The following is a 17,010-nucleotide window of genomic DNA, read 5'->3' on the forward strand; positions in this document are numbered from 1 at the left end:
AGGCTGAGGCAGGAGAATCACTTGAACCCGGGAGGCGGAGGCTGCAGTGAGCCAAGACTATACCACTGCGCTCCAGCCTGGTGACAGAGCGAGACTCCGTCTCAAAAAAAAAGAGGAAGGTGGGAGAGGGAGAAGGCAGAATGGAGAATGGCAAAATCAGATTCAGGATTGGAGAATGTTTCACCCTGAAGTCAGCCTGTTCTTGGGAGGGGCATCAAGAGGGGTTGTATGCTAGCTCAGACTGAAGGTGGAGCAGAGTCCAGGGGCCTGGGGGAATGTAGAGTTTGTGAATTTGTGATATCTAAGAGGGAGCATCTTCAAAATCATAGTGAAAAGGGTATTTCTTTGCAATAAGCGTTTCTTGCGGATCACAAAGGATTGGAGAGACCTTAGTCATAGCTATTTACCAAGATTCACTACCCACCTCATCTTTTCCCCCACTTTCCTTTGTCCTATACATTTTTTCCCTTTGGCTTTTACTGAGCTGTATTCAATATAATAACCTGGAAAACATATAAATCGTTTTTGCTAAGTTCTGTGAGTAGTTTTATCAAATTATTAAATTTGAGGGAGGGAGTTAGGGAAGCCCATGATTTATAGTCAGTTGCTCAGAAGTGTAGGTGGGCCCCTGGAGTTTGTGACTGGCATGTGCAGCGGAAGCAGTGTTGTGGAACTGGGTCTGAACTTGTGGGGTCTGTGCTGACCCTGGGTGTTGTCAGAATTGAGTTGTTGGGCACCCAGTTTGTGTTGGAGGATTGGTTGGTGTTCAGCAAACTCCATATATTTGGTGTTGGAATAAAGATAATCAGGCTGGATGTGGTGGCTCACGCCTGTAATCCTAGCACTTTGGAAGGACGAGGAGTGCAGATGGCTTGAGGTCAGGAATTCAGCACCAGCCTGGGCAACCTGGTGAAATCCCACCTCTACCAAAAATACAGAAAGTTAGCCAGGCATGGTGGCACGAACTTGTATTCCCAGCTACTTGGGGGACTGAGTCTGGAGGATTGCTTGAACCCTCAGAGGTCAAGGCTGCTGTGACCTGAGATCATGCCAGTGCACTCCAGCCTGAGTGACAAAGTGAGACCCTGTCTAAAAAAAAAAAAAATCACAGCAGACTTGGTCAGAAGGAGATGGTGGGTCTGTTGAAGAATGGAGAGTTTATTAATTTATTATTATTATTATTATTTTTTTTTTTTTGGAGACAGAGTCTCACTCTCGTCCAGGCTGGAGTGCAGTGGCGAGATCTCGGCTCACTGCAACCTCCACCTCCTGAATTCAAGTGATTTTCCTGCCTCAGCCTCTCAAGTAGCTGGGACTACAGGTGTGTGCCACCATGCCTGGCTAATTTTTTGTATTTTTAGTAGAGACGAGGTTTCACCATGTTGGCCAGGCTAGTCTGGAACTCCTGACCTCAGGTGATCCCTCCACCTTGGCCTCCCAAAATGCTAGGATTACAAGCATGAGCCACCACTCCCCGCTGAGAGTTTTACTTCTTTTGCACACAAGTTGTCACAGTTAGGTGTAATGTGATTCTACGTCTCCTCCATAGGGGACTGAGGACTTAAAGGGAAGGACTTCTGAGGGCAGACTCTTCTCTCCACCTGCTGCTACAATGTGATTTCTGCTCATTCACACACATGCACGCTAAGCAATGGTATGGCCGTGCTTCTCTCATGACAAAGCTTCACTCAGGAATTGTGCTGAGAGCACCTCTGCTTCTAGGGTTTTCCACTAATAGGCTACATAAGTGCCCAGAAGACTCATGGGCTCTTTCTACCTGCCAGATCTTGAATCTGCACCAGTAACCTGTTTTCTCCAGTAGAATAGGCTTCTGGATCACCTGACCATCTCATCTCCCTGTATGCACACATTTATAAGTCAGAGGTGCCCTGCCTGGGTGAATATCTAGAGCACTAACCAGTCCTTTTACCAACTGTGCACTGATCCTCACCCATGGTTCTTGATAGCACCTTTTCTTATTCTGCATTTTCCCCCCACAGACCCTCTCTCATGTGAACACAGCATGCCCAAGGTCACCCTGCAGGTGCCTAAGTCCAGGGCCTGCTGGAAATCAGGTTTCTATGAGTTCAAGGCAAAGTTTTTGGGTGTGGTTATTGTAAATGTAAATGCAAAATAGAAATAAGAGGCTTAATCCTCACATTGGAAAATAAAGAGTATTTACTCTCCTCCCTTTTCTTAAAACCTTTGATTTAGAAAACTTTTATATGTAAATTCTTTCTGTGCCTTTTATCTTTTTTGTTGTCTTTTAATTCTCTAATTTGTTTCTGGTCTGATTTTTGTTATTTTGTTTATTATGCTAACATTGGGATTATTTAGTTATTTTTCAAGTTTTTGAGGATTAAAGTTGGTTTATTTGAGATTTTTAAAATATAAAATATATTACTATAAAATTCCCAGAACTGCTTTTGTTACATTCATTTTTATATATTATGATTCTATTTTCATTTTTCTCAAATACTTTATGATTTCCTTTTACCTTCTTTGACCCATTGGTTGTTCAGAAGCATGTTGTTTAATATCCATTTATTTGTAAGTTTTAAAATTTCCTTCCGGTGTTGATTTCTAGTTTTATAAAATTGTGATTTAAAAACTTGATATGATTTCAGTCTGTTTAAAAATGAAAAGACTTGTTTATTTTTGTTGTGGGCCAGATTTATGACAGGTCTTGGAGAGTGTTCCATGTGTGTTTGAGAAGAATATAAATTATACTGTTACTATCATATTTGTTTTTTTCTCCAGTTTAGTTAACATATGTTTATATATTTGTGTGCTCCAATATTGGATACATAAATATTTTTAATCGTTATATTCTTTTGACAAATTAGCCTCATCACTATATAATGAAGTTTTTTTAATGACGAATTTTTTTCTTTATTTTATTTTATTTATTTATTTATTTATTTTTTGAGACAGTCTCACTCCGTCACCCAGGCTGGAGTGCAGTGGTGCAATCTTGGTTCACCACAACCTCGGTTCACCACAACCTCTGCCTCCCAGGTTCAAGCAATTCACCTGCCTCAGCCTCCCTAGTAGCTGGGATTACAGGTGCCCACCATCACGTCTGGCTAATTTTTGTATTTTTAGTAGAGACAGGGTTTCACCATGTTGGCCAGGCTGGTCTCGAACTCCTGATTGCAGGTGATTCTGCTGCCTGGGCCTCCCAAAGTGTTGGGATTACAGGTATGAGCCATCGTGCCCAGCTATGACAGATTTTTTTCTAGATGTCTATTTAGTCTCATATAAATATAGGCATTCCTACACTTTTTAAGTTATTATTGGCATGGAATATTCTTTTCATTTTTGAATCGTTAACCTATGTATTTCCTTAAATCTACAGTAAGTCTCTAGTTTGCAGCATATTGTTGATTTTTAAAATCGATTCAGACATTCTGTGAATGTTTTAGATTGTTTTTTGCTTAATAACAATATTCTAGGGTTGGTAATTTATAAAGAATAGAAGTTTACTTAGCTCACAATCCTGGATGCTGAGATGTCCGAGAGCATGTCATTCCCACCTCATGAGAATCACATTTCCACATCACAACATGACCAAAGTCTTGAGGATGATGGAAGGTGTACACCAGAGCTCACTTTTGTAATAGACCCACTCTCATGATGACTAACGCACTCTTAGAATTATAATACTAGGCTGGGCACAGTGGCTTACACCTGTAATCCCGGCACTTTGGGAGGCTGAGGCGGGTGGATCACAGGTCACGAGTTTGAGACCAGCCTGGCCAAGATAGTGAAACCCCCATCTCTACTAAAATGACAAAAACTAGCCGGGTGCGGTGGCGGCTGCCTGTAATCCCAGCTACTCAGGAGGCTGAGGCAGGAGAATCTCTTGAACCTGGGAGGCAGAGGTTGCAGTGAGCCGAGATCATGCCACCGCACTCCAGCCTGGGTGACACAGCAAGGCTCCGTCTCAAAAAAAAAAAAAAAAGAATAATACTATTAATCCTTTCATAAAAGTAGAGCCCTCATGACCTAATAACTTCTTAAAGGCCTCACTTCTTATTTGTTTGTTTGTTTTTTGAGACAGAGTCTTGTTCTGTCACCCAGGCTGGAGTACAGTGGAGTACAGTGATCTCAGCTCACTGCAACCTTCACCTCCCAGATTCAAGCGATTCTCCTGCCTCAGCCTCCCCAGTAGCTTGGACTACAGGCGCGTGCCACCACACCCGGTTAATTGTCTGTATTTTTTGTAGAGTTGGGGTTTCACTGTGTTTCAATCTCTTGACCTCGTGATCCTCCCGCCTCAGCCTCCCAAAGTGCTGGAATTAGAGGTGTGAGCCACCGCACCCGACCAAGGCCTCACTTAATTTTATCACAATGGCAGTTAAATTTTAACACGAATTTTGAGGGGACACTAAAACCATAGCAGTGTGTTTTTATTGCATAGCTAAATCTTTCTATATTTAAATGAATTACCGATTGATAAGAACTTATTACTGCCATTTTATTCATTGTTTACTGACCATTTAGTGGTTTCTGTTTTTTAATTCCTTCATGCTGTCATCTTTTGTGTTTTCTTGAATTTTTGTTTTGTTTTTGTTGCCTTCTTTTTCTTGTATGTGCATCTACTAGTTTTTTTTTTGTAATTTCCAAGAGACTTACATGAAACCTCTCATTTTAAAATTTTGCCTTCAATTTAACCTTTTGTTTTGTACAGATAGGGTCTTACTTTGTTACTCAGGCTATAGTTCAGTGGTGCATTCACAGTTGAGTGCAGCCTCAACCTTTGTGGGCTCAAGCAATCCTCCCATCTCAGCCTCTTGAGTAGCTGGAACTACAAGCACATGCCACCATATTCAGCTAATTTTGTCAGTGCTTTTTGTAGAGACGGGGTTTTGCCATGTTGCTCAGGCTGGTCTTGAACTCCTGACCTCAAGCACTTGATTTGACCTCCCAATGTACTAGGATTACAGGCATGAGCCATCAGGCCCAGTCATTTCTTTTTTTAAAAGATTGAATAGCTTTCTGAGATCTTTATTTTATTTATGTATTTATTTTAGAGACAGCGTCCTGCTATATTGACCCAGGAGGTGGAGGTTGCAGTGAGCCGAGATGTCACCACTGCACTCCAGCCTGAGTGATAGAGTGAGACTCTGTCTCAAAAAAAAAAAAAAAAGAATCTCTCTTTGTCTTTGAATTCTGGCAGTTTAATTATAATGTGTCCTGAGCAATTTTTATGAGGTTCTTGCTATAGAGATTTTAAGCTTCATAAAACTGAATGTCTATTTTCCTTCCAAGATTGGGAAAATTTAAGACATTATACCTTTACACAATTAAAAAAATTTTTTTTTCTCTGTCTCCTGAACCTCTTAAGAGATGTACATTCCTACAGATAATTATGCAGTGTGGGACCCAAATGCTTCAGTCACTCTTTCTTTTTTCTTTTTTCTTTTTTTTTTTTTTTTTGAGACAGAGTCTCACTCTGTTGCCCAGGCTGGAGTGCAGTGGCACGATCTTGGCTCACTGCAGCTTGCGCCTCCCGGATTCAAGCAATTCTCTACCTTAGTCTCCTGAGTAGCTGGGACTATAGGCGCGCGCCACCACGCCCGACTAATTTTTTCTTTTTTTCTTTTTGTATTTGTAGTAGAGACAGGATTTCGCCATGTTGGCCAGGATGGTCTCGATTTCCTGACTTCGTGATTCGCCCGCCTCAGCCTCCCGAAGTGCTGGGATTACAGGCATGAGCCACCATGCCTGGCCTCATTCTTTAAGTTTTAATTAGGAACTTTCAAATGACTTACTTTTAAGTTTGCTTATTTTTTTTTCCTGTAGAACTGAGTCTTCTGTTAAAGCTTGTTGTTAAATTTTTTAGTTCTATTGTGTACTCCAGCATATGTATTTGGTTCTTTTTTAAGTTTCTCGTTCTTTTTTTTTTTTTTTTTTTTAAAGATGGAGTTTCGCTCTTGTCACCCAGACTGGAGTGCAATGGCACGATCTTGGCTGACTGCAACCTCTACCTCCCGAGTTCAAGTGATTCTCCTGCCTCCGCCTCCCAAGTAGCTGGGATTAGTCATGAGCCACCACACCTGGCTAATTTTTATATTTTTAGTAGAGATGGGGTTTCACCATGTTGGCCAGGCTGGTCTCGAACTCCTGACCTCAAGTGATCCGCCTGCCTCAGCCTCCTGAAGTGCTGGGATTACAGGTGTGAGCCATTGTGCCCAGCTCTCCTTCTTTTTTATAACTCATTTTGTTCATGCATTGTTGCAAAAAAAAATTAGTAATCTGTGTACTTTTGCATTTTATTTTTCTTTTGTTGTTTTTTTGTTTGATTGTTTGAGATGGAGTCTTGTTCTGTTGCCAAGCTGGAGTTCAGTGGTTCAGTCTCGGCTCACTGCAACCTCCGCCTCCCGGGTTCAAGCAATTCTCCTGTCTCAGCCTCCCAAGTAGCTAAGATTACAGGAATGTGCCACCACACCTGGCTAATTTTTGTATTTTTAGTAGAGACGGTTTCACCATGTTGGCCAGGATGGTCACGATCTCCTGACCTTGTGATCCATCCGCCTCGGCCTCCCAAAGTGCTGGGATTACAGGTGTGAGCCTCCTCGCCTGGACTCTTATTGAGATTTTTTAAGATAATTACTTTGAATTCTCTGTTAGACATTTTCTAGATCTGTGTTTTATTGTTAGTTGTTCCTGGAGCATTTTTAGTTTCTTTTTGTGCTGTTAGGTTTGCCTGATCCTTCATAATCTGTGAAGCCTTGTTTTGATGTTCTTGCATCTGAAGGAGTAAATACTTCTTTCAGTCATTACAGACTAGTTTAGGGAGGTAAATATCTTCTATTGGTTTTCTGGGCTGATGAGATTTTCACTAGGATCACAGTCAACTGCATTGGATCCTGGTCACGTAACTACTACTGGGTCTACAGTGAAGTTAATGCTTGGCAGACCTGTTATTTAAGCATCAGACAGTTGAGGATTCCATTTTCTGAGGAGACTGAACTTTCTTTAAGATCTTGATCAATAAGACTGGTGCTGAGAAAAAAAAAACCCAGTTAATATCTGCAAATGGAGATGCTGATACAATAAATATGAGTAGGTGTGGCTCCTGCTGTTTGGCTCTTGCGAGATGTTTGGAAATGCTCTAACCTAGTCATTGGACAGGTTTCTAGATGACCGTTACTGAGCGTTGATCACAGCTGAGAGGGTGTGAAACTAATTCATAGGGCTGCTTCAGGATACACAGCTGAGACCAAAGTCTTCAGGTTTGTTCTGGGTTCATGACATTTCTCCCTCCAGATTTCTAGGTGGGCAGGACTTCTCCCTGCCTCTAGCTGCCAGGGACTGGAGCTTGGTTATAGGACTGCTTCACAATTCACGGTGGGAATAAAGTCAGCCAGCATGCCTACAGGGACACATGTAGCTGTGCTTTTGGGCAGGTCACAGGTCAGGAAAAACTCCTCCTGGATTTTGGTTGCATGGACTTGGAGCCAAGTTGTAGTGCCACGTCAAGATCCACCATCAAATAAATATTGGCAAGCCTACATCCAGGGGCAGAGATGGATATTTCTGTCTGTGGGTCCCTGTGTGAGTAGGATTTCTTCCACATCATGACTGACATGTGCAAGGGGTGCAGTTTGGGGTAATTCAGAGATCACAGACAGAAGCAACATCTAAAGGCCTTTCACCTGAGACACAGGACATTATGAATCCTCCTAAGTGTCTTGGCAGATGGTGCTAGTGGCATAAACAAAACCAAATGATAGCTATGTTTACAATGAGAATTAATTACATTTCATTCTGTATTGTGGGCAAGCATGCCACTCAAGCAAGGGCACACCCTCTCAATACAGCCCTCCTCAGTCTTCGGTTCGCAGTCTTACACATGGATTCCAAAGTTGCCGTAAAGGTTGTTTTGTCAGGGCTTAACTGCTGCATTTTTGTTACTGTAGAAAGTGTGGGTAGGGAGCCTCCTATTCTGCCATCTTGCTATGCCATATGTTCCGATATGTTCTATGTCAAATTTATCTGATTACAGATTCAGAATTTCTGAAATAAAGTACTCAGATTTACACATTGTGTAATAAGTAAATGTATTGCAATGCTTCATTCTCATTAGAGCATTTTATTAATTATTGAAATGCATTTGCTTTTATTGCGGCGCATGGCATGTCAAAGATTCAAAATGCCAGCTCTTCATAAGTCACAGTTGAAAACTAGTTATTTAAAGGATTGTTTTTATGATACGTCTGTATTATATTCAATATTTTATAGGTCAGAATTTTCTCTTGTTTTCAACTGTATTTTACTGGGGAGTCTCTTTTCATGTAGGTTCTCCTTGATCATTTACTTTTTTGTGTGTTTTTAATCTTCATATTTGTATGGTAATTTTCAACTTTGTACCTTTTATGACCATGTATTGTTTAATTCCAATAAAAATCATTGGAGCAAGTTAAAAAAATATACATAAATATATATGTGACATTTCTGTTGCCTATAAAAGTTATCTATGTGGTATTTGCCTGCAAAAATCACTTTGGGCAAATTTTAAAAAATATATAAATGCGAATTTTCTATTGCCTATAAAAGTTTTCTATATGGTATTTGCCTGTATAAATATTGACCTACTTTGTTTATAAATTACTCATTTTCTTGGGTAGTCATCAGTATTTCCTTGTGTAGATGAGCAGTCAAAGAAACTGTAAATTTACCATCTATTTATTGTTTGATTATATATTATTCTGTGAGAGAAGCACTTGTTATTTGAAGGTGATTTTTGAAAAATGTAACCGTTTTAGGTAGATGTAAATATTTAATTGTGATGAAAAACATAAAATTGCCATCTTAAACATTTTCAAGTACAGTCTAGTGGAGCTAAGTACATTTACATTATTTTGCAATGGATCTTTAGATTAATTTTATCTTACGAAAGTAAAATGTAATAATAAATAAACTGCCCTTTTCCTCTCTTCAGCTCTTGGAAAACACCATTTTACTTACTGTTTCTATACTTTTGGCTGATTTTTATATTTGTATCACTATAATTATATAATGTCTCTTTTTGACTATTTTTTTTAACGGAATGATCTCAGGCTTTGTTTTTGTAAGATGTGTCAGAATATCTTTCTGTTTTTTTTTTTTTTTAAGTTCTAGGGTACATGTGCATAACGTGCAGGTTTGTTACATATGTATACATGTGCCATGTTGGTGTGCTGCACCCATTAACTTGTCATTTACATTAGGTATATCTCCTAATGTTATCCCTCTCCCCGCCCAACCCCACGACAGGCCCCGGTGTGTGACGTTCCCCACCCTGTGTTTGAGTGTTCTCATTGTTCAATTCCCACCTGTGAGTGAGAACATGCGGTGTTTGGTTTTCTGTCTTTGTGATAGTTTGCTCAGAATGATGGTTTCCATCTTCATCCATGTCCCTACAAAGGACAAGAACTCATCCTTTTTTATGGCTGCATAGTATTCCATGGTGTATATGTGCCACGTTTTCTTAATCCAGTCTATCATTGATGGACATTTGCGTTGGTTCCAAGTCTTTGCTATTGTGAATAGTGCCGCAGTAAACATACATGTGCATGTGTCTTTATAGCAGCATGATTTATAGTCCTTTGGGTATATACCCATTAATAGGATGGCTGGGTCAAATGGTATTTCTAGTTCTAAATCCTTGAGGAATTGCCACACTGTCTTCCACAATGGTTGAACTAGTTTACAGTCCCATCAACAGTGTAAAAGTGTTCCTATTTCTCCACATCCTCTCCAGCACCTGTTGTTTCCTGACTTTTTAATGATTGCCATTCTAACTGGTGTGAGATGGTATCTCATTGTAGTTTTGATTTGCATTTCTCTGATGGCCAGTGATGATGAGCATTTTTTCATGTGTCTTTTGGTTGCCTAAATGTCTTCTTTTGAGAAGTGTCTGTTCATATCCTTTGCCCACTTTTTGATAGGGTTGTTTGATTTCTTCTTGTAAATTTGTTTGAATTCTTTGTAGATTCTGGTTATTAGCCCTTTGTTGGATGGGTAGATTGTAAAAATTTTCTCCCATTCTGTAGGTTGCCTGTTCACTCTGATGGTAGTTTCTTTTGCTGTGCAGAAGCTCTTTTGTTTAATTAGATTCCATTTGTCAATTTTGGCTTTTCTTGCCATTGCTTTTGGTGTTTTAGTCATGAAGTACTTGCCCATGCCTGTGTCCTAAATGGTATTGCCTAGGTTTTCTTCTAGGGTTTTTATGGTTATAGGTCTAACATTTAAGTCTTTAATCCATCTTGAATTAATTTTTGTATAAGGCGTAAGGAAGGGATCCAATTTCAGCTTTTACATATGGCTAGCCAGTTTTCCCAGCACCATTTATTAAATAGGGAGTCCTTCCCCCATTTCTTGTTTTTGTCACATTTGTCAAAGATCAGATGGTTGTAGATGTGTGGTATTATTTCTGAGGGCTCTGTTCTGTTCCATTGGTCTATATCTCTGTTTTGGTACCAGTACCATGCTGTTTTGGTTACTGTAGCCTTGTAGCATGATTTGAAGTCAGGTAGCGTGATGCCTCCAGCTTTGTTCTTTTGGCTTAGGATTGTCTTGGCAATGCAGGCTCTTTTTTGGTTCCATATGAACTTTAAAGTAGTTTTTTCCAGTTCTGTGAAGAAAGTCATTGGTAGCTTGATGAGGATGGCATTGAATCTATAAATTACCTTGGGCAGTATGGCCATTTTCATGATATTGATTCTTCCTATCCATGAGCATGGAATGTTGTTCCATTTGTTTGCGTCCTCTTTTATTTCATTGAGCAGTGGTTTGTAGTTCTCCTTGAAGAGGTCCTTCACATCCCTTGTAAGTTGGATTCCTATGTATTTTATTGTCTTTGAAGCAATTGTGAATAGGAGTTCACTCATGATTTGGCTCTCTGTCTGTTACTGGTGTTATAGGAATGCTCGTGATTTTTGCACATTGATTTTGTGTCCTGAGACTTTGCTGAAGTTGCTTATCAGCTTGAGATTTTGGGCTGAGACGATGGGGTTTTCTAAATACACAATCATGTCATCTGCAAACAGGGACAATTTGACTTCCTCTTTTCCTAATTGAATACCCTTTATTTCTTTTCTCCTGCATGATTGCCCTGGCCAGAACTTCCAACACTATGTTGAATAGGAGTGGTGAGAGAAGGCATCCCTGTCTTGTGCCAGTTTTCAAAGGGAATGCTTCCTGCCCGGGCGCAGTGGGTTACGCCTGTAATCCTAGCACTTTGGGAGGCCAAGGCGGGCAGATCATGAGGTCAGGAGATGGAGACCATCCTGGCTAACACCGTGAAACCTCGTCTGTACTAAAAAAATGGAAACAACTAGCCGGGTGTGGTGGCAGGCACCTGGAGTCCCAGCTACGCGGGAGGCTGAGGCAGGAGAATGGCATGAACCCGGGAGGCGGAGCTTGCAGTGAGCCAAGATCGTGCCACTGTACTCCAGCCTGCACGACACAGTGAGACTCTGTCTCCAAAAAAAAAAAAAGGCGGGGGGGAATGCTTCTAGTTTTTGCCCATTTAGTATGATATTGGCTGTGGGTTTGTCATAAATAGCTCTTATTATTTTGAGATACGTTCCATCAATACCTAGTTTATTGAGAGTTTTTAGCTTGAAGGGCTGTTGAATTTTGCCGAAGGCCTTTTCTGCATCTATTGAGACAATCATGTGGTTTTTGTTGATGGTTCTGTTTATGTGATGGATTACGTTTATTGATTTGTGTATGTTGAACCAGCCTTGCATCCCTGGGATGAAGCCGAGTTGATCATGGTAGATGAGCTTTTTGAAGTGCTGCTGGATTTGGTTTGCCAGTATTTTATTGAGGATTTTCACATCGATGTTCCTCAGGGATATTGGTCTAAAATTCTCTTTTTTTGTTGTGTCTCTGTGAGGCTTTGGTATCAGAATGATGCTGGCCTCATAAAATGAGTTAGGGAGGAGTCCCTCTTTTTCTATTGATTGAAATAGTTTCAGAAGGAATGATACCAGCTCTTCTTTGTACCTCTGGTAGAATTCGGCTGTGAATTCATCTGGTCCTGGACTTTTTTTGGTTGGTAGGCTATTAATTATTGCCTCAATTTCAGAGCCTGTTATTGGTCTATTCAGAGATTCTGTTTCTTCCTGCTTTAGTCTTGGGAGGGTGTATGTGTCCAGGAATTTATCCATTTCTTCTAGATTTTCTACTTTATTTGCATAGAGGTATTTATAATATTCTCTGATGGTAGTTTCTATTTCTGTGGGATCGGTGGTTATATCCCCTTTATCATTTCTTGTTGCATCTATTTGATTCTTCTCTCTTTTCTTCTTTATTAGTCTTTATTACTCTTGCTAGAGTCCACTCCAGACTCTCTTTGCCTGGGTATCACCAGCAGAGACTGCAGAGCGGCAAATATTGCTGCCTGATCCTTCCTCTGGAAGCTTTGTCCCAGAGGGTCACCTGCCTGTATGAGGTGTCAGTCGACTCCTACTGGGAGATGTCTCCCAGTTAGGCTACATAGGGGTCAGGGACCCACTTGAGGAGGCAGTCTGCCCATTCTCAGATCTCAAACACCATGCTGGGAGAACCACGATTCTCTTCAGAGCCATCATACAGGACGATTAAATCTGCAGAAGTTTCTGCTGCCTTTTGTTCAGCTATGCCCTCCCCCCAGAGGTGGAATCTACAGAGGCAACTGGCCTTGTTGAGATGCAGTGGGCTTCGCCCAGTTCAAGCTTCCCTGGCTGCTTTGTTTACTTACTCAAGCCTCAGCAATGGTGGACGCTCCTCCCCCTGCCAGGCTGCTGCCTGGCAGGTCAATCTCAGACTGCTGTGCTAGCAGTGAGCAAGGCTCTGTGGGTGTGGGACCTGGCAAGCCAGGCGTGGGATATAATCTCCTGGTGTGCCGTTTGCTAAGACCATTGGAAAAACACAGTATTTGGGCAGGAGATCCCGATTTTCCAGATACAGTCTGTCACAGCTTCCCTTGGCTAGGAGAGGGAAATCCCCCAACCCCTTGTGCTTCCCAGGTGAGGTGATGCCCCACCCTGTTTCAGCTTGCCCTCAGTGGGCTGCACTGCACCCACTGTCCAACCAGTCCCAATGAGATGAACCAGGTACCTCAGTTGGAAGTGCAGAAATCACCCGTCTTTTACGTCAGTCACGCTGTGAGCTGCAAACCAGAGCCGTTCCTATTCAGCCATCTTGGAACGGGAGGTCTCTGCTCTATTTTTAAATTGTGTGTTATTTTTGTTGTTAAGTTTGTTAAATATTCTATAAGTTTATCTTTTGTTGTGTATATTTCACAAATATTTTCTTTCATTCTGTAGATTATCTCTTCACTTTGTTAACGTTTTCTTTGCTGTGCAAAACATTTTTAGTTTGTTGTAATCCCATTTGCATAATGTTACTTCTTTTGCCTGTGCTTTTGAGGTCTTACTTAAAAATTCTTTGCTCTGTAATATGTGGTAAAGCATTCCTCTATGTTTATCCAAATAGCTTTATAGGTTTGGGTTTCACATTTAAATCTTTATTTGCGATTGAGTTTTTTATACTGTAAGAGCTAGGGGCCTAGTTTCATTTTTTGATTATCATGTAGGTAATCAATTTTCCTAGCACCAATTATTGAAAAGACTGTCTTTTTCCAAATGTGTGTTCTTGACATCTTTGTTGAAAATCACTTGCCTCTAGTTTCATGAATTTATTACTGGGCTCACTGGATAGTTTGATCTGTCTGTTTTTATGCCAGTATCATGTTGTTTTGCTTATTATAGCTTTATAGCATATTTCGGAGTCAGGTAGTGTAATGCCTCCAGCTTGATTCTTTTTGCCCAGGATTACCTTTGCTATTTGGGGGTCTTTGGTTGGTCCTGGTTAATTTTAAGCTTGTTTATTCCATTGCTGTGAAAAAAGTCTTTGGTATTTTGATAGAGATGGCATTGAATCTGTAGATCACCTTGGGTAGTATGGCCACTTTCGTAATGTTTTTTCAATTCATGAGGAAAAATATCTTTCAATTTTTATGTCTTTTTCAGTTTTTTATCAATTTTGTTGTTGTTTGCTTTTTGAGACAAAGTCTCACCCTGTTGCCCAGGCTGGAGTGCAATGGCACAATATCAGTGCACCACAACCTCTGCCTCCTGGGTTCAAATGATTCTCCTGTCTCAACCTCCTGAGTAGCTGGGATGACAGGCGTGTGCCGCCCCACTAATTTTTGTATTTTTAGTAGTGACGGGGTTTCACCATGTTGGTCAGGCTGCTCTCGAACTACTGACCTCGTGATCTGCCCACCTTGGCCTACCAAAGTGCTAGGATTACAGGCGTGAGCCACCACACCCAGCATTATCAATGTTTTATAATTATCAGTGTAGAGAGTGTTCACCTTTTCAATTCGGTTTGCTGCTAGACATATTTTATTTTATTTATTTAATTTGGGATGGAGTCCTGCTTTGTCGCTCAGACTGGAGCGCACTGGTGCGATCTTGGCTCACCACAACCTCTGCCTCCTAGGTTCAAGCAATTCTCCTGCCTCAGCCTCCTGAGTAGCTGGGAGTAGCTGGACTGCACCTGGTTAATTTTTGTATTTTTAGGAGAGACAGTGTTTCGCCATGTTGACCAGGCTGGTCTTGAGCTCTGGACCTCAGGTAATCCTCCTGCCTCAGCCTCCCAAAATGCTAGGATTACAGGCGTGAGCCACTGAACCTGGCCAACTGGTGGATGTAGAAGCAACACTGGCAAAATTGAACATGGCTTTGTGATTTAAGAAACTCAACGAATTAGGTATAGATCATATGTACCTCAATACAGTAAAGACCCTATATGACAGATTAATAGCTGATATCATACTGGATAGGAAAGAGCAGAAATCTTCTTTTTTTGAGATCTGGAACAGGACAAGTATGTTTTTATTTTATATTATAATTGTGTATGACAGCATTCAGCTGTGTACACTGTAAGACTGGAGCACAAGTGAAATATGGATCACTGATATGTCTATTTCCAATATGAGTCTATCTGTATGTGTATTGGTTTTGTATTGTTTATGAGTTGTTTACTTGTTCTGTTTATGTGTGTTCAATGGTGGTTTTGAATAGTCATTGAAATCCTCCTAATTTTACTTTCTATTTATTTGTAAATCTATATTTGTGTGTGGGAGAAACACTTTTGCGACTTGAAGATAAGTTCAAAAACTGTCATATGTCTGTATCTCAGATTTTAGATACTATTTTTAATTGTCAAAAACACATAAACTTTACAATCTTTTTTTTTTTTTTTGATGTGGAGTCTCACTCTGTCACCCAGGCTGGAGTGCAGTGGTGCGATATCAGTTCACTGCAACCTCTGCCTCCCAGGTTCAAGCGATTCTTCTGCCTCAGCCTCCTGAGTAGCTGGGATTACAGGTGCGCACCACCATGCCCAACTAATTTTTGTATTTTTTGTAGAGACGGGGTTTCACCATATTGGCCAGGCTAGTCTTGATCTCCTGACCTCATGATCTGTCCGCCACGGCCTCCCAACATGCTGAGATTACACCGCGCCCAGCCAAAACTTTACAATCTTAAATACTGTTTTTTTCCAAAGTTTGTTGTCATAATTTAAGTTCTGGGGTACACGTGCAGAACATCCAGATTTTGTTACATAGGTATACACGTGCCATAAATACTTTTAAGTATTTACCTTAGTCATATTATATCGATATTCTTATGCACTCTGTCTGGAATATGTTTATCTTGCAAGGCTAACACTCATACACATTAAACAACTACCTACTTTTTCTGTTTTCTGGCCCTTTACAAAAACAATTCTGTTTTCTATTTTAGAGTCAGACTGCTTTATATATCTCATGTAAGTTGACTCATGCAATTTTTGTCTCTTCATGGCTGACTTATTTTGTGTTACACAGTGCCATCAACATTTATCTTTATTATACATATTAGGATACTTTTTGCTTTTTATAAACAGTAATGTTTCATTTTTTTAAAGGATTTTTTTTTTGAGACAGAGTCTTGCTCTGTCACCCAGTCAGAATGTAAGTGCAGTGGCACCATCTCAGCTCACTGCAACCTCCACGTCCCAGGTTCAAGCAATTCTTGTGCCTCAACCACCCAAGTAGCTGGGATTACAGACGTGCACCACCACACCCATCTAATTTTTGTATTTTTAGTAGAGACAGGGTTTCACCACATTGGTCAAGCTGATCTCGAACACCTGACCTCAAGCGATCCACCTGTCTCGGCCTCCCAAACTGCTGGGATTACAGGCATGAGCCACCATGCCTGGCCAATCGGCCAATGTTTCATTATTTTAATATTTCAAATTATATTTATCCATTGATTTGGTGAGAGAAATTTTCATTACTTTCATTTATTTGCTTTCAGTAACAATGCTACAATAATTGTGAGTGTCCAAATTACTCTTTATATGACCATATGTGTGAGAGTTCATATTTTTGCCGGATTTTATTGATTTAGGTGTTCACCTTCATACTCATACCAAATTGCTTTAATTCTTTAGCTTTGTATGTTTTTTGAAATCAAGAACTGTAGTGTTTCTGACATTGTTACTCTTTTTGAAGATTGTTGAGTGCTTCATTGTTTCTTGAAATTCCATATAATTTGGGGGTTGCTGTTTCTTTTTCTGGAAGAATTTAATTAGAAATTTGACAGGGATTGCATTTAATCTGGAGATTGCATTAAGGAATTTAGACATCTTCTTTTTAGGCAAAATTGTTTTATACTGCTTTCAAGTCTTCTATTCCTTTATGAATATTCTGTCTTGTTTCATTATTCATTATAGAAATTGGGGTATTGAAATATCCTACTACAATTACATTGCTCCCTATATCTTGCTTTAATTCTGTCAGTATTTGCTTTGTATATTTTGAACCCTAGTGTAAGATACACACACACACACACACTCACACACACACATTAATATATGTATACCCACATTTATCATGGGTTCTAAGTAAATGAACTTGTTTATTATTGTTTAATGTCTTCCTTTGCCCCTTATGAGCTTTTAGTTAAAGTA

General features: G+C 40.2%; 1 protein-coding gene across 8 annotated transcripts in view; it reads left to right on the forward strand.

Annotated features, from left to right (window-relative positions):
- Positions 1 to 17,010, forward strand: part of ZNF141 (zinc finger protein 141) — a 47,055-nt gene that overhangs the window by 14,469 nt on the left and 15,576 nt on the right. Inside the window, exon 4 of one of the 8 annotated variants that reach the window (NM_001348280.2) lies at positions 5,621 to 8,949. The exons of 6 other annotated variants lie outside the window; for them this stretch is intronic. In NM_001348280.2, coding sequence (NP_001335209.1) covers positions 5,621 to 5,676 — 56 coding nt within the window. In that variant the 3' untranslated portion in view covers positions 5,677 to 8,949. Of the gene's footprint in view, positions 1 to 5,620; positions 8,950 to 17,010 lie in introns of those variants that run through there. One more of the 8 variants, NM_001348279.2, reaches the window with a different exon arrangement.

This window comes from Homo sapiens, chromosome 4, assembly GCF_000001405.40.
Source record: "Homo sapiens chromosome 4, GRCh38.p14 Primary Assembly".
In the NCBI taxonomy this organism is placed as follows: Eukaryota; Metazoa; Chordata; class Mammalia; order Primates; family Hominidae; genus Homo; species Homo sapiens.